At 37.4% G+C, this 22,633-nt stretch overlaps 1 long non-coding RNA gene across 2 annotated transcripts in view; it reads right to left on the bottom strand.

Annotated features, from left to right (window-relative positions):
* Positions 1-306: 306 nt before the first annotated feature.
* The window catches only part of LINC01507 (long intergenic non-protein coding RNA 1507), a 210,026-nt gene continuing 187,699 nt past the window's right edge, over positions 307-22,633 (bottom strand). For both annotated transcript variants that reach the window (NR_121213.1, NR_121212.1), the window contains 2 exons: positions 4,093-4,278; positions 307-561 (listed from right to left, as the gene is read on the bottom strand). This is a non-coding gene — a long non-coding RNA (long intergenic non-protein coding RNA 1507). The remainder of the gene's footprint in view (positions 562-4,092; positions 4,279-22,633) is intronic.

The raw sequence follows: 22,633 nt of genomic DNA, 5'->3' as shown, positions 1-22,633 counted from the left end.
ATTCAATTACATGGTCTTTCTGACTCTTGCCTCTAATTCACCACCAACAACGACTTTTATTGCAGATTATACTCTAAATTTACTTTTGTTAATCTCACAGAAAAAACAAGTTTGGAAAACACTGGTATGGATTCTACTAGGGAAAGATTATTTGTGAATTAGAAAGTGTGGTCCCTGAGATCAAACACACTTGGGTTGTAATCCCAACTCTTTCATTAACTAATTAGGTGACTCAGTTAATAGCTTAAATACACTGATTCTTATCTATAAAATACTATGAAAATGTATACTTCATAGGCTTCTTCTTCTCTCTAGCATTCATAGAAACAGAAGTAGAATCAAAACCTAAAATCAAAATCTCTCAGAAGGATTTTTCCTTTGACCAACAGCAGTCCTAGAACTTTAGGGTAAATTACTTGTCTTCTCATCTGTAGGCTGCTCTCCTTCTCTTGCTGTCTCCTACCTTTTCTGCTGCCTCTCCAACCTCTTCAGCTCCAGCACGTATCTCCTGCTGTGACTCACTCAAGATACCAGTATCCCAGCCAGAAGCTCTGGTTTGATCTAGAGCAAATGAAAAGGCAGAGAACCGGAATGAAACAATAGGATACAAATCTAGACTCTGCCACTTACCATCAAAATTTAGCAAGTGATATAGTTTGGAGGTTTGCCCCTTCCAAATCTCATGTTGAAAGGTGATTCCCAATGCTGGAAGGAGGTCCCAATGGGAGGTGATTGGGTTATGAGGGCAGATCACTCATAAATCATTTGGCACCATCCCCTTGGTAATAAGTGAGTTTTTGCTCAGTTAGTTCACATGAGAGCTGCTTGTTTAAAAGCCTGGGACCTCCCCATTCCTCACTTTCTTGCTCCTGCTCTCACCATGTGATGCATCTGCTCCCCGTTCGCTTTCTGCCATGATTGTAAGCTTCCTGAGCCTCTCACCAGAAGCATGCTGGCACCATGTTTCCTGTGTGCTCTGCAGAACCCTGAGCCAATTAAACTTCTTTATAAATTACCCAGTTTCAAGTACTCCTTTGCAGTAGCACACACAGACTAATACAGAAAATTGGTTCCAAGAAGTGGGATATTGCTATAAAGATACCAGAAAATGTGGAAGCAGATTTTGAACTGGGTAATGAGAAAACGTTGGAAGAGTTTGAAGGGCTCAGAAGAAGACAGGAAGATGAGAGAAAGTTTGTCACTTCCTAGAGACTTGTTAAGTGGTTCTGACCAAAATGCTGATGGAAATTTGGACAGTGAAGGCCAAGCTGATGACCTTCACTGTAAAGTTTACCTATGCTATACCTTAGCAAAGAACTTGGCTGCATTGTGTGTGTAACCTAGGGATCTGTGGAAGTTTGAACTTAGGAGTAATGACCTGGGGTATCTGGCAGAAGAAATTTCTAAGCAACAGATCTTTGAAGATGTGGCATGGCTGCTTCTAACAGTCTATGATTAGACAATGAAGCAAAAAAAAAAAATGACTTAAAGTTGGAGTTTATATTTAAAAGGGAAGCAGAGCATAAAAGTTTGGAAAATTCACAACCTGGCCATGTGGCAGAGAACAAAAAAAGCATTTTAGAAGAGAAATTCAAGTAAGGTGTAGCGCAACCACTTGCTACAGAGATTAGCATGACTAAAAGGGAACAAAATGCTAATAGACAAGGCAATGCTTAGAAGCACTGCAGAGATCTTGGAGACAGCCCCTCCCATCCCAGGGCCAGAGGTCTAGAAGGAAAGAATGATTTCAGGGCTCAAACACAGGGCTCTGTTGCCCGTGAAGACAGGACACTGCTCCCAGCATCCGGGCTGCTCTGGCTCCAGCCTGGCTCAAAGTGCCCCCACGTACAGCTCAAGCTTCTGCTTTGGAGAGTGCAAACCACCACAAGCCTTGGTGGTTTCCACATGATGTTAAGTCTGTGGGCACACAGAATGTAAGTGTGAAGGAGGCTTGGCAGATTCTCCCTAGATTTCGTAGGATGTATGGAAAAGCCTGGGTGCCCAGGCAGAAGTCTGCAACAGGGGCAGGCCCGCACAGAGAAACACTAAGGCAATGTCAAGGGGAAATGAGTTAGTGCCCCAACACAGAGTTCCCACAAGGGCACTGCCTAGTGGAGCTCTGGGAAGGGAACTACTGCCCTCCAGACCCCAAAATGGTAGATTCACTGGCAGCTTGCATCCTGAGCCTAGAAAATCTGCAGGCACCCAACTCTAGCCCATGAGACCAGGTGCAGAGGGTGTACCCTGCAAGGCCACAGGGGTGAAGCTCCCAATGCCTTGGAAGCCCAGCCCTTGCACCAGTGTGCCCAAGATATGGGAGATGTAGTCTAAGGGGATTATTTTGGAGCTTTAAGATTTAATGACTGCCCTGATGGGTTCAGACTTGCATGGCCTGTAGCCCCTTTCTTCTGGCCAATTTCTCCCTTTTAGAATGGAAATGTACACCCAATGCCAGTACCACCATTGTCTCTTGGGAATAAATAACTCGTTTTTTATCTCATAGGCTCATATGTGGAAGGAACTTATCTCCAGGTGAACACTGGAATTGGAACTAGGGAATTGGGACTTTTGAATTGGACTTTTGTGAAGGCATGATTGTATTTTGAAATGTGAGAAGGACATGAAATTTGGGGGGCCAGGGAGGGAATGAAATGTGATTCCCAGTGTTACAGGTGGGGCCTGGCGGGAGGTGGTTGGATCGTGGGAGTGGGTCACTCATGAATGGCCTAGCCCCATTCCTTTTTTGATGAGTGAGTTATTGCTCATTAAGTTCAAGTGAGATCTAGTTGCTTAAAGGTTTGGGACCTCACCCCTCTCATTCTCTGTCTCCTACTCTCAACATGTGATGTGCCTGCTCCCCTTTGCCCTCTGCAATGATTATAAGCTTCCTGAGTCCTCATCAGAGGCAGATGCTGGCATCACACTTCCTGTACACCCTGCAGGACCCTGAGCCAATTAAACCTTTTTTCTTTATTAGTTACCCAGTCTCAGGTATTCCTTTATTGCAATGCAAATGGACAAATACAATTTAACCCCTTTGCATTGCAGTTTTCTCAACTATAAGATTGAGTCAATGATAGCCACCTCTCTTTGTTATTTTGAGATTTAGACATGAATATAAAGTGTCTGGTGCAGTATATTTTAGTGGAAAATAGTAGGTGCTAAATAGTTGGAGTGATGTCAACATATCACTTACAATGCCCACAAATTATATTACCCATTTGATCCAAATCTATTGTGCCCTTGCTGACTTCCTAAGATAAAAAAGGAGCAAATATTCACTTGACAATGATAATCATGTGATAGTTTGTCATGTTAAGGGATACACAAAACTCTTTGTGTATACTTGTACACAAACCTGAGCAAATCATATTAAATCACCAAATCTGTATTTCCCAAAGTAGAAGGACTAGCTACATTGGAATTATTTTGTATGAGGTTTGTATGAAAATTCACATTCCCAGATCTCATACTTATTGATTCAGAATTTCTTATAGGGGCCATGGAGCTAGAACTCTGGAATTTTCGGATAATTTTATGTTGGCTTTAATTTTTTTCCAAGGTTTACATACTGCTGCTAAGTGAAGGTCATTCACTGAGCATGAGTAGTACATTTATTTGAAAAGTTCCCAGTGCACAGAATTATTCTCTGACCACATATACGGGGGTTTCTTTTCTTTTGAAAAATAAAATAAAATAGTCATGAGGAATAAAAATGTGTGGGAGCCTGAAGCTAACAAATCCAAAGTCAACATTGTTATATTTGTTTATAAAAATCCTGGTAGAAATGTAATTATGTGGTACTTGGAGGTGCTTGTAATTCAATGGCTGAATGCCTTTCATTCTTGTGCTCACCACTAACCCAATGGGTCAGTTTCCCTCAGTTCATGGTCCTTTCACATCATGAGTTCTTGTATGCACATACCTTCAGGAACCATAGAATTATATATTCATTAACAAGGCTTATTTTCTGAGGCTAGCCCTTGACCATGAAATCGCTTCTGCTTGAAAGTTAGACCAGGAGATTGCTGTCCACATATAAGTGGTTTTATGGCTCACATTTTTTTTCGCGAGAGAACTAGGAAAGCTTACCAAGACAAGTCAATCAACAGGGGCTGTGCTCTCTTACAGATCTTTTCATCGCATTCCTGGAGCAGCAATTTTCCAGAGAGTGTTGCAAGGTAAAACAATCTCAGGGTATCATTGAAGCATTTCTGTGTTGAGCACCAGGGATCAGGGTCTTCCTCCTATGTACAGCCAAGCCAACTCAGTCAGCTCCTATGAGAAGACAAAAGGGAAAATATTACACCTGAATTGGGATTACCCTCTGCCGATGCTTCACACAAGCATACACGTATCCACTACTGCTGAACACGGCATTTCTGAATGTCCTCTGGGGATTCATGAAAAGCCTGGTCTTTTTATTCTCATCAACTGACACTTCAATTAAAATGATCAACTTACCTGTATTGCAGTCCAGATACTGCATGAGTTGTTGTTCTGATCCAAAATTTTAGCAGATACTAGCTAGCTGCTTACCAATCCCATTTCATCTTCTCAGGCACAAAAATCAACTGTATTCTCTAGCCTTCCTTTCAAAGAGACATGACTGTGAGCCTGAGTTCTAGCCAATGGAATTAAACAGAAGGAATGTGTGCCACATCCAGAGCTGGCTCATAAACAGCCTTCCACACCATATCCACTGTGTTGTTTCTCTATCCAGTGGCTTGCATACATAGCTATGTAGGAAGCTGTGTGTTAAAGATAATAAAGCAAAAGCAAAACGAAACAAACCACCAAGTTCTTGAATCGCCACTTGAAGAACAGCCCACCAATCAAGAATACCTATTTTATATGTGCAAGAAATATACTCCTATTGTATTAAAGAATTGCAATTTTAGCTTTATTTGGTATGGTTGCTAGCAATACCCTAATACATAAACCTGCAATAGGAATGTATTGTATGTTGGAAACAAACCAGTTACAGCTTCCAGACATTGAGTTCTCCAAAACACACTTCCAACTCAACTGCACACAAAAAAAGTTTTACATAGTTCTCATATTAAGAATTATTTTTCTCATAGTTTACTTAATTATCACTGAGAAAGGAATTCAGTTTTAAAATAATGATAATCCTTGACAAGAGTTTACAAAACATTTGCACATTGTCCTCAGATAAAGATGACAGAAAACATTCTCATTTTCTCAGGAAAAAGAAAACTAAGAGGAGATGAAATGACATTTCCAAAATAACCCTGGTAAGTAAAGAAACTAGAAATCAGACCTTGGTCTTCTGACTCCAGATCAGACCAATGTTCTAGAATTCAGACCTTGGCCTTTTGATTCTTTCCCTCAAACTAACTTTTTCCTTTGCACTCTTGATCAAAACTCATAGCCACTTCTCAGAGAGAGCAAAATCAGCTCAAGTCTGTTTGCCATAAGGCAAATATAGCACAAAACACTCCTATTTACTGTCAGGATCAATTTATAACTTGAATAGAATCCAGTGCATTGAAAATTTCTTGCCTCCCCCTAAAAGTCTATGGGGTCCTATTCATTATTTGCATTTTCAAGTTTCTAGTGTTGTCTTAAAAATCATCTGGTCTGATTTGAGGCTCCTAATTCCAAACTCTGACTCTCAAATCATATTGTACTTGCCTCAACATCCTGTATCTAAACCTATTTCATTTCATTTAACCAAGTTTTCTCAGTTGAAATTACCCAGTTCTGAATCTTTTCTCATGTAAGAGGTCAGAACAAATGTAAGCAACCAAGTTTGTTTTGCTGAGATCCAGTAGAATGACCACAGCTGGATTTGTTCTGATTCTAGACTCAGAAGAACATTTCTGTCTGTCAATAATTTTTCACTTCCCTTAAAAGCTTCTGCTGGCAAAGGATTAGATGTTAGTTTGTGTTGTTCCACAGGCATTTTTCTTTTAAGCCCAACAGATTTTTCTCTCCATGGGATGCACTGACTTCTTAGCAGACTCTAGGATAATCCATCCCACTGGAACACCCAGTCTGCATCTCAGTGTGAGAGCAGCCCTAGCACGCCAGCACCATCATGGTAATAACTTACAGCTGAGCTTGCTGCATTCTGGCCCTTTTAATGGAACTGTGTGTACAAGCATAAATATGCCCAGAGATGAGGAAAATATGCTCAATTACTTTATTGCATTATTCTACAATGTACATCATGTCTCTCCAGGCATTGAAAATAGCCCAAGTAAACCACAAATAAGATAAATCCTGTGATCATCAAAATGAGGACACGATCCAAAATATGACTTTGGTTTGTGGTTGAATATGTTTGAGTAAAAGATTATTGTCTGTTTCTGCTAGAGTCTGTTTCTTTTATGTTATATTTAAATTAATTACACATGGAAATACTTCTACAATGAGAAACGGTGATGATTTCCTAAGAACAAAGTGGGTGGAAATCCCTGGATTTATCTGGGCAATATTTGATGTGAAATTACTTCAATTTTTATTTTGTTATAACTCTGAAATCTAACAACATGCTGCATGTGACAATTCTCATTGTCAATCTTGTTTTTTCTTGTTCAAAAAGAAAAAAAGACAGAAAAAAAACAAAAATCACTACTGTAATGATAGAAAGTTCAATTTAAAAAAATATATTGTAAGACCGAGGTAACTGGGCTAGCCAATCATAGTTTCCTTTCTCATGTATTACATTATTTAGTGTCTATTAAACATCCTTAACTCACAATATGTTATTTACCATATAAGAAAGGCATGAATAGTTTTCACTCTAAGTGGAATACATGTTCCTATTTTATGCTGTGTAAATATAGTTTCTAAAAGCATTAGGTCCCACTTTGAAATGCCTATGTGAGCCATAGATGAGGTGAACATTTCATTTCTAAAAAGCATTGTGCTTTGTCTCTTTATCTTGCCCAGAAAATACGTCCGGAGAACCAGCCTGGATACTCAATCAGAAGAAAATAGCCAAAGTATTTCATTAATATATTTCCTTAGTTATCATAAATAATAAAAAGACTAAAAGGAATTGCTAGTTTTAAACAGAGCATAGGTGTACAATAATTAATTGTTGAATGAATGCTTAGAGGGATGAATTGATGAATGATTGGATGAAAATAGATGGATTATTGCTGCTGGGTAGGTCCATGTCTGAGCTGATGTCAAATGTGATGATAGAGGTATGAGGAAATTTCCTATGGAGACCTTGCTGAGGGGGAAGGGGCCTACCGTGATGGTATCATCACTATGGAGCTTTCACAAATCTAAATAAATTTCTTTCCCTAAAAAGTATCTACTATTTTTCCTTACATGACCATTTACAATGACATTCTGGGAAAATAAGACTTCATAGAGGAAAGTGTTAACATACTCTTCCATAAAAAATAAAAGTCTGAAGAAGGAGTAAGATTTGGTGAGTGTCACCATCAGAAATATCCATGGTGACACAATGAGAGAACGCTCTACATTGGTTAGGTTGGTTATCTCAAAAAGAAAGAGAAAGAAAACAATAAGTGTTGGTGAAGGTGTGGAAGAATTTGAATTCATGTGCATTGCTGATGAAAATATAAATGATGTACGCACTTGAAAAAAGGGATGGTGATTCCTTAAAAACATTAAACCTATAATTACCATACAATCCAGGAATTCTATTTCCGGATATATGCCCAAAAGAACTGAAAGCAAGGACTCAGATATTTATGCACTGGTGTTTACAGTAGCATAATTCACAATAGCTAAAAAGTAGAAGCAAGCTAAATGTCCATTAATAGATGAACAGGTAAGCAAAATGTGGTATATAAATATAGGGAATATTATTCAGCCTGAAAAAGAAAAAAACTTGACGTACACTACAACCTGGGCGAATCTTGAGGACATTATTTTATGGGAAATAAGCCAGTCACACAAAAAGACAAATACTGCATGATTCTACTTGTACAAAATAACTAGACTAGTCAAATTCAGAGACAGAAAGTAGAATGGTGGTTTCTAGGTGTTGGAAAGTGTGGATGGGAAGGGAGGAATGCGGAGTTAGTGTTTAGTGGGTACAAAACTTCATTTGGGAAAGATAAAATTCTAGAAAGGGATGGTGGTGAGGGTTCACAACAATGTAAATGTACTTAATGCCACAAAGCCATGCACCGAAAAGTTCTGTGTATTTTACCGTAATAAAAATAAATATCCATTAGAGCAAAAGCATAATTATGCAATTAAATATTCTTCCAGAAGAAATCCTTGAACTATGAGTAAAAGGCTAAGATTTAATGACATTTGTAAGAGTCACTGGATCTTTGTGTTTTCTTCTTGTATTAACACTTTTTCTCTCTGACCTCACTTATTATTAATAACAGAAAAAAAACTTAAAATTCGAATGCTTTGTTTGTCGATCTTTAGGAGGAAGAAAACTACCAGACTTTCTTTAACTCTGAAGCAAGCAAAAAAAGGCAGAAAATGCTGAAGGAATTCATAATTGTTATTATAGACAAAAAGGAAAAGAAAACTAGGACTAGAATACTATGACAAGAATGAAACAGTACTGGATGACATCATGTTTTACATGGCTTTCCAATAACAGTTCAGATAGAGCCTACAAGAGACAAAAGCCTCACGATCAAGAGAAATAGAAGCAGAAAGAATAAAAAGGGCACTGAGGAAGCACAACATAAAACTAAGGTATGGCAGATCACCAGCTCTTTGCTGTATGTCGATTGTGTCATTCTTCTACATTGAATTCTACTTAGAAGTGTTTGTGCCGATCTTGCCTACCAGGCTTGGCATTCTCTCAGTTGGCATGTAGTAGTCATTCAATAAACATATGCTAAGGAAATGCATGATGAATAAATAAATATGTGAATATGCTAACATCAGTTGGAATTCAATTCAATCCATAAAACCTTTTAAGTGCCTATGATGTGCAGTGAATGTTCTTCTCCAGGAATTGCAGTGTTTCAGGCAAGCCAAATACATAAATAATTAATAGTAGCAGACTCTGATAAATACATAATAGAGTTGAAAAGAAGCTGAGAAAAATGAAGACCACAGGAAGGCTTTTCAGAGGAGATTAGATTTTAATGAGCCTTTGAAAAATTGGAAGATTCTGGAAGGTAGCTAAGAAGCAATTAGAATCCTAGAAAGAAGGGAAGACCAGTGTGCTTTCGGACACAGAAGCAGGAAATATACAAGCTGTCGTTGGAGAACTGCAAATACAATTTCTAGTCTCTTAGAATTAAGAATGTTTTAGTGAAGGTCTTTGGAGAGTTTGGGGAAAATTGTAAAAGTTGGGTTAGAAGCCTGAGAAGCTGTATGTTATTTTTCACATAAGGGGAGACTATTGGAAAGTTTTGAGTAGGAAATAAACTTAGTTCCTGTGATGGTTAATACTGAGTGTCAACTTGATTGGATTGAATGATGCAAAGTATTGTTCTTGGGTATGTCTGTGAAGAGGTTGCCAAAGGAGATTAACATTTAAGTCACTGGACTGGAAAAGGCAGACTCACCTTCAAGCTGGGTGGGAACAATCTAATCAGCTGCCAGTGTGGCCAGAATAAAGCAGGCCGAAGAATGTGAAATAACCAGATTGACTTAGCCTCCCAGCCTACATCTTTCTCCCATGCTGGATGCTTCCTACCCTCAAACACTGGATTCCAAGTTTTCAGCTTTGGACTCTGACTGCCTTCCTTGCTCCTTAGCTTGCAGACAGCCTATTGCAGGACCTTGTGATCATGTGAGTTAAAACTCCTTAATAAACTCCCCTTTATATATACATTTTTCCTATTCGTTCTGTCCCTCTGGAGAACCCTGACTAACTTAGTCCCTTTAGGTTTGGAAAGGATAACCCTGGAAGCAATGTGGATTATGAATCTGCAAGAGGGAGTAATGAGAGTGATTATGAACAATAAGGAGGATATTTCAAACAGCCAGGATAAGCATCAAGGACCCAGCTAGGGTGATGGCAATGGAGATGGGGATGCACAGGAGAGACTCCTACAATTCTATCTTCTGAACGGTTTTGGAACTTTGGGAAATGGAAATATAATGGGGGTGAATACCTTTGTAAGGTAAGATGGAAAATAATGCATGCAAAAGAAAACAGTTGAAATAATATTTTTTATTATGTAACAATTTCATCCTTAGAAAATTCCTTTAATGTAGCCCCCTACAGTGTTCTGCTGAGGTTTTTTTTTTTCCACCTTACATGGTTTCTGCACTGATCTTACTTGAGCAAACATAAGTTTATCAGCACAATCTTTCTTGGAGAGCATAATCCATCTGTACTGATCAAAAATAGCTGTGGTCCCTAATTTCAGTCCTGAGCACTGTGAACATTATCATAAGCTGGGACAGGGCCTGAGATACTGAGTGGACATTGGCACAGGCTTATAGGGGGAACAACTGGCAAAAAATGGGAACAGTTCACTTAGAAATGGAGGGAGGCTTGGAGAAGAGAGTCCCAACAAATGGGCCAGAAGAATCTTGGTTTTGACTCCTTTATTTTAGCTGAACCTCATTTTCCTTGCCTGTAAACAATTAATTTCCCTTACGTCAGAGGGCATTTCAAACAAGATTTTTAAGTGGTCCATAAAATTAAAAATAAGAAAGAAATAAGGGTTATTTTTATTGTATTGGAAGGGTCGTGAGGATTTCTGAAAGCTCTCTATGTGGAAGAAACAGGAGACATTTTCATATCCTCTTGGAAGGCATGGGTAGGATCAGAAGCTTTGTGCTCAACAAGGGAACAAGTTTGGCACAATAGGAAATGCTGTGAAGATAGAGTAGCTTGTGTTTAGGCTATGGAGAGTGGTCTGTTGTGTCTATAGGAAAGCATGCCAGTCTCCTGGTTGGTGAGATTGAAGCATCAAATGTGGAAGTAGAGTATGTGTTTCTTAGACCCCACATTCTATAAGTCTAAGAAAAGTTTCTCTCTCATTATGACTGAACAATGTTAAATGGCACTTTAAAATGAGGTGCCAACAGGTTTCAAACAAACTAAAAAGTAATGTGAAAACAACTATTTTCTTAACAGTAAAACAAAGAAACAAACTTCTCTGTGAGAATCTGGAAGAAAAGCAAAGAAGTCTAGTTCCCCAGTGATTCTTCAATCCGGAGAATTTGAAAGTGACTCTGTTGGAAAAAACTCCCAAACCAATTTTCCTCTACTCTCTTACCAAAAGAACAACAACCATCAACACAGACATCTGTGACCACAAAACATGTCGTGATTTCTCCCTACCAGCAAGAAAGCAATCAGTTCTGCAGTAGATACCAGCTGGGTTTCTTCCAATTCAGTTCTGACCCTACCCGCCTAGAGAAGAGTGTCAGATCCCACAGGTTGAGGGCTCAGTCCCCAAAACTGCCTCCTGCCTTCAGACACTTCAGTCACAAGTTTGGGCCTCCAGAACTTCTGACTGGCTATAAGTTGGGGTTCCTGTGACCCTTCTTTGGGTTCAACTAATTTGTTAGAGCAACTCACAAAACTCAAGGTAACACTTGCTTTATGTTTATTGCTTTATTATAAAGGCTATCACAAAGGATCCAGATGAAGAAATGCATAAGGTAAGGTAATGGGGAAGGGGTACAGAGCTTTTATGTCCTACCTGGGTCTGTTCTCACACTGCTAATAAAGACATACCTGAGACTATGTAATTTGTTTAAAGAAAAAGAGTTTTAATGGACTCACAGTTTCATGTGGCTGGGGAGGCCTCACAATCATAATGGAAGGCAAAGGAGGAGCAAAGTCGTGTCTTACATGGTGGCAGGCAAGAAAGTGTATGTAGGGGAACTGCCCTTTATAAAGCCATCAGATCTCGTGAGACTTACTTACTATCACGAGAACAACATGTGAAAAACCCACCCCCATCATTCAATTACCTTCCAGCTGGTCCCTCCCATGACATGTGGGGATTATGGGAGCTACAGTTCAACATGAGATTTGGGCGGGGACACAGGCAAACCATATCTGGGTGTGCCACCGTCTAGGAACCTCCATGTATTCAGCTCTCCAGAAGCTCTCTGAACCCTGTCTTTTAGGCCTTTCATGAAGATTTTATTTGTTTTCCATAATTGACAACCATGTAGAAATGTGATTGGACAAAAAGGGTGTGATCTAAACCCAGTGAGGCCTGTGTGTTCAGATTCTTCTTGGCCTCTCTGTGCAGCATGCCTTTCTCTGGGGTATGGGGCAGGATTCTCTTTGGAATGATAGATTCAGATGTAATGATGACAGTCAGATAGAGTCCTGCCTTGGGCAGGTGAAAGGAGGGCAGAAGAAGGTCAGAGAAAGAGATGCTGTTTCCTGAGACCTGCTTCTGAAGGCTAAAGGACCACAATATTATAACTAGGGCTGTAGGAGTTATAAGCCAGGAACCATGAACAAAAACCTATAAAATATCACATAATCACTTCCTGATGAATGAGAGAGTAAACAAAGAGGATGGAGATCATTTCTCCTACCTCTTTCTAGAAGAGTTTTCTCCAGGAAATGCTAGATTTTTATGCCATATCACAGATTTAATAGAATAACAAGATGCAGTAGATATGGTCTGGCTTTGGAATCTGTACTACCTCTCACTGGATGTGAGGCCCTGAACAACTTCTGTAAACTCTTTAAGGCCAAGTGTACTCAACTGTAAAAATCAGGTAATAATTCATAACCTTTACACCTAGTATTAATGTGGCAAAGTGGGGAAGTGTCCAGATTTGTGTCTTAGTGGGATTTGTATATAACTCATCATGTTCAGCAGATAGTTGGCCCAGACTTCCATAAACACATTGAAGTAGAGGCTGAGGAGTTGTCCATGAGAGAACCCAAGCTCAGTTCACCACTGAACTGATATACATGGACATGTCTTGTAAGCTATTGAGTTTTGCGCAATCAAAGCCAAGAATAGGCTGGGCACAGTGACACACACCTGTAATCTCAGCACTTTGGGAGGCTGAAGCGAGCAGATCACTTGAGCCCAGAAGTTTGAGACCAGCCTGGGCAACAGGGCAAAACTCTGTCTTTACAAAAAAATACACACACACACAAAAATTAGCTGAGCGTGGTGGTGTGCTACTCAGGAGGCTGAGGTGGGAGGATTGCTTGAACCGGGGAGGGGGTTGAGGCTGCAGTGATCATGCCACTGTACTCCTGCCTAGGCAACAGAGTGAGACTATCTCAAAAAATAAATAAATAAATAAAAGGCCAAGATTATTTGTTGGGAATAAAAGACTCATGTTAAGTGAAATTGGAACCAATGAAAACAGTACAACAAGAGCAACAAAAATAAATAAATATAATAGAACAAAACCTCCATTTATGGAATAAATGAATGAGATGTGAGCCACAAAAATCTATTTGTAGCAGCAATCATTAATAAGAGGCTCCTAGGGGGAACGTGACCTTAAGCAGCAACAGAACAAAGGGTTATGAGTTGGCCCATTCACAACACTTAGACTTCTGAATGATGTCTGCCATTCACAGTGTCTCCCGACCCAACAAGAGGAGTAGTGAGAGGGATGAAAACTGAAACAATAATTTCTTTTGAAACCCTAGCATGTATCTGGGTGCAGCCATACTATGTGATATTTTCCAAACACTGTAACCAACAGGGGAGAAATGTTTTATTTCACTTTGCCATGGGTGGCCATGTAGGTTTATCATCACCAGGACTCCAAGGAATCAGTTTGGAGGCTCCTAGTGGAAGAGTATGTGTGAGCACATTCAGTGCAGCCCATAGTTCCCTGGCAGGTTCCCAGGAGCCAGGATGCTCCACAAGAGAGCATGATACCAAGAGGGTGCCCAGCAGAAGGACCTGGTGGAAGACTGGAGTGCTAGGAAAGGTAATGTTCATGGTAGAACAAGCCAATATCCTGTGCCAGAGTGAAGAAGTCTCTGCTTAATGAAAATATTCTTTCAAACCCTGAATGCATAATAGTCAGTATTTAGAAATCAAAAAAGAAAAAGTTGTATATCAGGGATGAAAAGCCACAAAATGTTCACCCATCACTTCTTAAAGAATTTTTAAGATGTTACTAAAGTATGCAGAAGTTGACTGACAGACTAGGTGTCCTTTCATAATGCAATGCTCCAAAAGAAGTCAGCCTGATCACACAGAAATGACAGAATCAGAATAGCTACCACACTAAGAAACACCAGGGTTTCCAGTTCTTATGTTTTGTGTGACCTTCAACTTCAAATCTCAGATTTATGTGAACTTTAAAATAGATTCATGAGTTTCATTTTAAGTCACTGTGATTTCCATGGGTTTCTTAAAAAGACATTAGCAACAAATCACTCAGGGCTCATTTCAATTACACCCCACTCTTTTGATACTTCTGGAACCTAAAGAAGCAAGAAAAGTTTGGGGAAATGTGTTTTAATGTATTTATATTTTTTCCTGTAGATACAAAATGGGCCAGGAGAAAGGATTCAGGTTCACGCTTGTATGACAATGGTTTTAAAGAACTCTAGCGCTGATTACAGCAAAGGGGGAGATTTATGGGTTGATAATACTTCACTGATCAAATGCACACTTTAGTATTTAGTTTAAGAATTTGAAGTGAACTCCAGATGTGTTTATGTGAGCGAGGCACCCTGGTAACCAGACTGTGAAATAAACCTGCTTAGGCAATGTCTAGGTGAGGGCAAAACAACTGGTTGACTCAGAAACTTCAATTATCAGACAAGACATCGTAAAAAAGAAAAGCCATCAATTCGTTGCTAAATTTAGCTAGCCAGTTTGGTCAGAAAGATCATTTTGTTAGATCTGACCTTTGAATTACGAAATATCTAATAAAAAAATTGTGATATAATAAAATATTAAATTTCTTGGGTAGCCAGAGAATTGCCTACAATGCAGACACAGTTTTGAAACAGAAAATGTAAAATAGATAGCAATCTCCAGGAACAGCATCAGCAATTTCAGCAATTGCTAGAGAAGTAAACTAAATGAAAATATTTATAAAAATTATTTAGGTAAGATCCAGAAAATATTTTGTAGCACTCCTTGATTAAAATAGCATTCCATCACATAGGGCCAACAGGAGAATGCATTTTTATAACCCTGGATATCTCTCCCAGTCCTACTTTTGGAAATGTAATGGATGGAAAGAAGGTAGGCACTGCAGTAAAATGAAACTCCATTTAACTGACTCTCCATTCATTTACAAGGAAACTCTACTCCTTGAGTAACATGCAGTGTAGGATATGCTGGTTGCTAGAGACCAGAGGCTAGCTCTGACACATCTACTCCTCATGTATCCTACCACCTATGCGGCTACATGCTTAACAAGAGGTATAGTGTTTCTTCCTAAACCTATTACAGCTACCTTTAAGGGGACGAAATATGAGGAAAATAAAAGAATTTCAGAAAAATTGTCATTTCTCTGAAAACTAAGTTGAATGCTTAGTAAAATCTCAGTAAAAATGAGTACTAAAAATGCTGTAACATTAAGTTTGAGGAAGAAAATTATAAGGTGTCCTGTTTTAAATTGTTCTGCAAGTGTGTTTAAATTGTCATTAATCTTTAAATAAGCCAAATCTGGAAAATGTATGTAATGGCTTATGGGCTTGATCTACACAACAAATATAATATCCTAACTGATGATGCCAAATTCCAATCAGTGCAATAAAAGAGGTTTGATTGATGCCACATAAGAACTCAAAGTGTATTGATTGATTGGCAAAAACTCTACAAGTATATAGTTCACATTAAAATAAAATGTGTAAGATATAGGAATACATTGCATGATATTGTGTATATGTGTGTATGTATTACTGTATGAATCATATATTATGATTCCCTGCTTTAATTGGAATTTCTGCTTAACTGGCCAAATACTTAGGGAAATCATTTTCAATAAGAGGACTTCTACAGAATAATCATGTACCCTTTTAAACTATCAGCCTAAACTGATAGAAATTCAAGAAACCCTTGAGATATAAGACAATTTATGTCACTCAAGTGAATTTGTTCCACTTAAAGGAAAAAACAGACGTTGCTTCACCCTGCCTTTTTACAACACAATGCAGAATGGAACTTTGTACAAAAGTACAAAATGAAACAAGTAACAAAATTCTGAGAAGTTGCAAGATCAAAAAGAAAATGTGAACACAATGCAACTGAACAAACTGAAGTACAGTATAATTGAGTAGACAGGAGTGAGCTCAGAATCGAAGGACAGTTTGAGTATCAAATATCCTGGCTGTGATTTTGGACAAATAAATGACCTTCTCTGTCTTGCTTTCCTCTTCTGTTAAATAGCAAATGAAAAAAATTACCTAATCTATAAAGATATTTTAAGTATTAAATAAAATACTACACTCAAGGTGCATAACAAAATACATAGCATATATATGATATTGAAGAAATGCTATCATTAACAATTTAAAAAACCATTTAACATAGTACTAGTAGCTACTTATATGTGCTGGTAAAATCCTCTTTTCAGTTATGAAAACTTTTCCCAAGTAGATGAAGAGTGATTTCTGTATTCTAAAAATATAGCAGACTCACACAATACAATGTACTTATTTTATGTATAAAGATAACATTTGTCTTCATATAGTGTGTGTTTATGTGTATCTATGTGTATATATAAGAATAATGTAGAATTAAAATTGATTATAAATGTATATCATATTATTTCTTATATAATGAATATTTTATATTAGATTTAAATGTATATACATATATGTGTCTATACATAATACATATACATATATATATGGTGAGTGTTTGTACGTGTAGTTTCTTCTGCTGGCCTTAAACCACCAAACATATTTTGCCTAAGATGATGCAGTCTTTAAAGAGGACTGCATACCTACTCATTCACAGATGCATCTGTCCCTGAAATGGGATGTACAAAGAGCCTAGGAGCCACTCAAATCAGGGTCTTATAAAAACTTTATCCCCTTAGAACCAATAAAAGAAAACAATGAAAGATGAATGAACACAAAATGCATTTTTCCCCTAAAATGAAAACAAATCTAATTTTGTTCTTATTTTATGGAATTACTGTGTCTACCAAAAATTGATGAAACTCTGGATCCAATTTTTAAATGCAGACTGAATAATTTATATAGAAAGTTATTAAAATAAATTAGCACAATGGTTATGCTATAATCCTTTTATAAAAAATACATATATGTATATAAGCTTGTGTATGTATATGTAAAGGTAAATATAGAGTTATACATACTGAAGATTTGCTATTTTAAGGAGTAGAGGTTAGTCAAGGATGTGAGGAAATGAGGAGAGAAATTATTGCTTTTATTAATATATTTTATATTACTTAGTATAGTAGAGTAGATATATATTTTTCTTATCTAATTTTAAAAATCCAATGTAATAAAATGAGTAGAATAGAATCCAGGTTGTTCTCTACAATGATTGACATGGGTAGACTAATTTCACATTCTCAGGTGGCAGGAAAAAAATAACTGATATTCCCACTTAAATAATTCTAGGGTGTTCTATTGCAGTAATGATACCCTAGGCATTTTATACCAAATCTCCCATTGAAAATATGAACAAGATTAAAAATCTCTTTGAAGGCAATGGAGAAGTAACCTTTCCATGAAGAATTACAATGCCACGATCCAAGAAAAGAAGAAAATCTAGAAAGTTGAACCCAGCATTTCAGGTTGCTTTTCTTCTGGGTTTCTTCCAGTTTCTAATAAGATAGTTAAGAAGCCAACTTGTTGACCTGCATAACCAAACTCTCACAGGTCTACAGAGATAAAAATTAGAATTCGGGCCTTGGCAATGTAGGTAATGGGTCCCTGGAAAACTCTCCAAGTTTTCAGTTAGGATTCCGAAGGGCCACATACTCCCTAGAGGCAAGGTAAGCCAGAAATAAAACAATCCTAGCAAAGTCTAAAACTTATCTTGGCATCATCTCAGTTTTTGATTGGACTAATGTGACCTGGGATGGCTAGTTCCTCTGTCAAACAATATATATATTTTTTTATGTCCAGATGCAAATGTAATTCTTTTCAAAAGGAAGATGCCTTTAACGAAAGTCAATTTATCTCTTCAATTTTTTATATACAATGTCCAGCATTCAATCAAAACTCAGTATATGAGAGGACAAGACAGTGTGATTGAAAATCCAGAGAAAAAGATCCCAGAGGAGCAGACCTACAAGGATTCTAATCAGATAGAGATAACAGACACAAACTTTAAAATAGCTGTGCTTAATATGTTCAAGAATAGCAAAGTAAAGAGAATTTCAGTGGAGAATTAAAAACTATTGAATAAAAAGATTCTCTGTAAAATAAATTGTTTTCTTCTATATTGTATAATTTTGTATGACTTTCAGAATCCCTTGCATTAATCATGTCAGTAGCTAAGACACCAATTAACCCAAACTTAATGACCTTATTATGTTTTTCATCACAGTATCTGTTTTCCTGGACATTTTAAAATTTGGAGGATCAAAAATTTCTTTAACAATATTAATTTCATAGTTTCCAAAGATTATGGTTCTTTCTGATCACATTATAGTTTGGAAACACTGTTTTACTCTTCTTGATAAGTGACTCATTTCATCCAATTTTTGGTCTCTCCCTTCTTATTCCTACATAATTTTCAACTTGATTCCCTTCATACTGAAAACGTCTTCTAACAATTTCCTAATTATAAGTATTATGAATATAGATGAATAGCTACAGAAAAAGAGCTATATAATGCCTGCACTACAGAGAATATACCATTAAACTATAAAAACTGAGAATTTAACGACAGAATAAGGAAGTGTTGAAAGCCATAAAATTACATGAAAATAAATTAAAAATTAAAATCAAGCTTATTGTTTCTTTTATTTAGAGAACAGCAGCTGCTTCTGCATTATTTTTATTTGAAAAGTTTTATTCTGTATTGATATCTCAGCTTTCTCTATATATGTGTGCATACATACACATTCATCATATTTACAAACCATGGAATATATAAAAAACAGCAGGCTAAATTGACATAAATTTTGTGTTCTAAAATATCTCCCTTGGCCCAAAATTTAAAATGGAGAATTTCCTCCAGGAAAAACAAATTCTAAAATTATGAAGTTATGACATGTTTGAAAGTACAAGTTTTCTTTTTTGAAACAACTTAAATGGGTACACTTTAGTCATAATCATATTTGAAAGAAAGCAACCTTTGATAAGAATTGTATGTTAAAAGGTTGACAAGGAAAATTCTGCTGCTTCTTGACGCTGTAGCTCATAGCATACCACTTTTCCCACTGAGAAAAACTTTTAAAGCCCTCAAAATACAAAACATCTGTTTGTAGACAGCAGCATGCCACTGTGACAAAAAGGACTGAAGGACCCAGATTATACACCAAAGGAAAGCTCATTGAAATGAGCTCAAATTCTGCCTGTTGATATATCCTACAGCACTTGTTGAGCCCTGGCATGGGATGATGGCCTAGGAAGGAAGGCAAAATTTAGTTGCTAAGACATGGGAGTGCTTTAGGCAGTCTCATGAGCATGGGAAGACAAAACTTGAAGTTCAAGGCTGCCAAAGCAGCCAGATATTAAGGATCTGAAATGTAGGACAGAGAGGCTGAGCATGGAGGCTCATGCCTGTAATCCCAGCACTTTGGTAGTCCGATGTGGGCAGATCACTCAAGACCAGGAGTTTGAGCCCAGCCTGGGCAACATGGCAAATCCCTGTCTCTGCTAAAAATACAAAAATTAGCCAGGTGTGGTGGCACAAGCCTATAATCCCAGCTGCATGGGAGGCTGAGGCACGAAAATTGCTTGAACCTGTGAGACAGAGGTTGCAGTAAGCCAAGATAGCACCACTGCACTCCAGCCTGGGTAACAGAGCAAGACTCTGTCTCAAAAAAAAAAAGGATAGAATTGAGGTACAGAGACCTAAGACTAATATTTGGAACTCATTTTCTTCTTGAGTCACTTGCTTAATCTAAGAAAGACAAAAGGCTAAAATGTTAAGATTAAGATGGCTGAAAGGCATAAGAAAACATTATCCCTTTTTGCTGGGGAGGAAAAATTAAAGTTCATGACATGCAAAGTTGGAAAGGGCTTAGGAAGCTCCAGGCTGTGCGTTGAATCCACTGAAGGTGGATGAGTGGAAGAAAACGAGAAGTAGAATGATCCTTACAAAGACTGCAAACCAGCTTTGAGTCAGGACAGTCTGAAACTTAGATTGAGTTGATCTGACTTTCTGCTGTCTGCCAGAATAAAGAATGAATCCACTCTGGAGGAAGATGACATTATGCAAAGCCTCCACAATTTTTCATCATAATGTTCAATATTTAGTCAGAATTACCAGCATACCAAGAAATAAGAAGAAGAGAAAACAGAAACAACACAAACAAATCCAAAGAGACCTAGATATTGATATAATCAGAAATGTATTTTTAAATAAGTAAGTTACACATTTCAGAAAATAGAGAATGTGAAATACCTCAGAAAAGAACTTTAATATAAGAAAAAGAGTTTAATGGATGTTAAAGAAATGAAAAATATGGTAACAGCAAATAGGAACTCAATACAGTTGGCCCACCCTATCCATGGATTCTGCATCATGAATTCAACCAACCACAGATCAAAAATATTTGAAAACAAAAAAAAATAACAATACAACAACAAACATAATCCAAATAAAATATGCAGCATATCAACTATTTACATGGCATTTACATTTTATTAGGTATTATAAGTAATCGAGAGATAAAGTATGCAAGAGGATGTGCATAGTTTATGTGCAAATACTGTGCCATTTTACATAAGGGACTTAAACATCTGTGGATTTTGGTATCCACAGGAGGTCCTGTAAGCAATTTCCTGTGGATACTTAGGGATGACTGTACATGGTTATAAAAGGAAATTGATCAGAGTTAAAGAGAGATTTAGTGAGCTGAAGAAAGTCAGTAGAAAATATCTAGACTGAAGCATGCAAACAAAATATATGGAAAGTACAGAAAATAGCATTAGAGATGTACAGAACCTTATGCAAAGGGTGAATATGAAGGAACCTGGAGATCCAGAAGGGAAAGAGAAAGACAACAAGTTAGAAGAAGTAGCTCAAGTGGTGGTGGCTGAAAATTTCCAAACAGGTAGAAAACATCAAACCCCAGATTCTAAAAGTTCTATAAATATTAATCACCAAGAAAATCACACCTGGGCATACTGAAGCTCCTGAAAACTGGACATATACAAAAATCTCAAAGGCACCCAGAAGAAAAAAAATATATCACCATCAAAGGAGCAAAAGTACAACAACAACAACAACAACAGCAAAAAAGCAACTAAATTTTCTATTCAAACAGTAGGACTCAGAAGAAAAAGGAATGATATCTTTAATGTGCTAAATGAAAATAACTACCAACCCCAAATTTCACATCCATCTAGTGAAATGTCATTCAAAAGTACAGGCCAGAAGGACATTTGGCATGTGAAGTAAGTAAAGGACCTCCAAAAATCCTTTCCTCCATAAAACCAACAAGAACACTGGCAAGAAAAAAAAAAAAAAAGTCAAAATCAACTTTTTCAGAACTCTAGAAATTAACTTCAGACTTACAAAAATTGAGGAATGTTTACTCAAAAAACAAAGCTGAATGTTAGTAAGAATAACTACTTTTTGGTATTTAATTTGACCTATTCTCAACTGTCCACTTCTGTGATAGCCTTGAAAATCAACAGCTGGCAATTACTGTGAAAACCAACATTCTAGCAGCCAATGGAGGGGTTGGAATGGGGTAGAAGCTCTTTCACTGCCCTGTTCTCAGGGAATTGTCATTATTTGGCATGTATGGCAATCCTATGGAAAACTTTACTTGCAAGGCTTGTCTTTAACCTAATTAAGAGCTTACTTAGTGTAAACACACCCCCACACCCTCTGTACCCACAACCTAAACACCTGTTAAAAACAATCAGTGGCAGCTGCCTGCAGCTGTAACAATTGGGCAAACAACAAGCAAAAAAAAAAAACCTTAAAAAAAAGAAAAGAAAAATCTGGGGTAAATATGTCCATAGAGAACTTTAAAAAGATCTGACATATTCCTGGTAATTGAGAAGGCTATGTGCACACTTAGGGCTGTGTGTATACACAGAGCTATGCATGTGTACAGGAAATGCCAGTGAAGACCCTAAGTTCTCACATGTAGCTAATCTTGAGGTTCTGCACAAACAGGAAATGAAGGCTAAGGAAGAATTGTAAATTGCCTAGTTGAGTGTGAAGTTATGCCCCAACGTAGATATAGAGCCCATCAGCGAAGACTGGGAGACATTTTGGTTTCAGGCATTTAAGGATATCTCTGTCCAGTCATTAGCTGATTATTAAGCTAACTCAACAGAGATATCAGTGGCCACACATGACTGACTATACAGACTTAACAGAATTAGTTTAGGAAAATTACTAAAGAAAAAAGCAGCAGAAACAAAAATAAACAATAGTAATGAACTCCAGAGATGGAGGAAAAATTTTATCTTCAGAGTTATGTTAATATTAATATATTAATAGAATTATAGTAATTAGAATGAGCAATTTTTGACAAAATTAAGAGAGATACAAAAGCAAGAAAGTAAGAAAGTATGGCTTATACAGAGAAGGAAAATTTAATCAATAGAAACTGTCCCTGAGGAAGAGCAAACATTAGACTTACTAGGCAAATACTTTAATTCAGC

Source organism: Homo sapiens, chromosome 9 (genome assembly GCF_000001405.40).
Source record: "Homo sapiens chromosome 9, GRCh38.p14 Primary Assembly".
Lineage (NCBI taxonomy): Eukaryota > Metazoa > Chordata > Mammalia > Primates > Hominidae > Homo > Homo sapiens.
Note: the sequence above shows the minus strand (reverse complement) of the source record. Positions and strands in the feature narration are given on the sequence as shown.